We start from the raw sequence: 1,197 nt of genomic DNA, 5'->3' as shown, positions 1-1,197 counted from the left end.
GTCTTTTTGTTTGTCTGTGCCCTGCCCCCAGAGGTGGAGCCTACAGAGGCAGGCAGGTCTCCTTGAGCTGTGGTGGGCTCCACCCAGTTGGAGCTTCCTGGCTGCTTTGTTTACCTAAGCAAGCCTGGGCAATGGCGGGCGCCCCTCCCCAGCCTCACTGCCGCCTTGCAGTTTGATCTCAGACTGCTGTGCTAGCAATCAGCGAGACTCCGTGGGTGTAGGACCCTCGGAGCCAGGTGCCGGATATAATCTCGTGGTGCGCCGTTTTTTAAGCCCGTCGGAAAAGCGCAGTATTCGGGTGGGAGTGACTCGATTTTCCAGGTGCCGTCCATCACCCCTTTCTTTGACTGGGAAAGGGAACTCCCTGACCCCTTGCGTTTCCCAAGTGAGGCAATGCCTGGCCCTGCTTCGGCTCGTGCACGGTGCATGCACCCACTGTCCTGCGCCCACTGTCTGGCACTCCCTAGTGAGATGAACCCGGTACCTCAGATGGAAATGCAGAAATCACCCGTCTTCTGCGTCGCTCACGCTGGGAGCTGTAGACCGGAGCTGTTCCTATTCCGCCATCTTGGCTCCTCCCTCCAGAAAGTGAGTTTTTAATCATTTAAAACTTTGATTTTTAAACATAGGCTTACAGGAAGAAAATAATTTATTTGAAACAAAAGATAAATTTCTGTTTTCTGGCATAAAACTTTTGCAATTATGACAAAGAAGGTAGGTCACATCTTAAAAACTTTTGAAACTATTTTACTCCGTGAACTTATGTAGGAATTTTTCTTTCCATCAATGTGCTATAGAAGTGTTATTTGATTCAAATATGAAATTGCATTGCTTCTTAGCACCGCTATCATGCTTCACTTAAAATGTGTCTCAAACTTGTAATATCTTTTTAAAATTTGTATCTTGCAGCTAGTTGTGGCGTTAATTTAAAATGATGTGCTATTTGTGCACAGCAGTTTTGATACTCAGATAATTTCTCTACCTAAAGGAGCTTCTAAGTTGTTGGCATAAAACTGTGTGTGTTTCAATGGCATGGGAGGTTTTATTTTATGAAGGTTCAGAAGAAATTAAAACCCAGTAAGTTGTACTACAAGCATATGGAAAATTAAGATAGAAACATATTTATTATATTTTCTTTGGGAGGAAACAGAGGTAGACACAGTTATACTTTTCCATTTTTCAACATACATTAGCTTG

General features: G+C 44.1%; 1 annotated feature.

Annotated features, from left to right (window-relative positions):
* Window positions 316–907: an enhancer, noted in NCBI's record as "H3K27ac-H3K4me1 hESC enhancer chr6:142135627-142136218 (GRCh37/hg19 assembly coordinates)". NCBI's record gives its function as "activates a minimal SCP1, AML or CMV promoter by ChIP-STARR-seq in naive H9 embryonic stem cells {active_cell/tissue: H9 hESC(naive)}" and the evidence as "EXISTENCE:reporter gene assay evidence [ECO:0000049][PMID:30033119]".

This window comes from Homo sapiens, chromosome 6 (genome assembly GCF_000001405.40).
Source record: "Homo sapiens chromosome 6, GRCh38.p14 Primary Assembly".
NCBI classification, from domain to species: domain Eukaryota; kingdom Metazoa; phylum Chordata; class Mammalia; order Primates; family Hominidae; genus Homo; species Homo sapiens.
The sequence above is the reverse complement of the archived record's forward strand: the minus strand, read 5'-3'. Positions and strand labels throughout refer to the sequence as shown.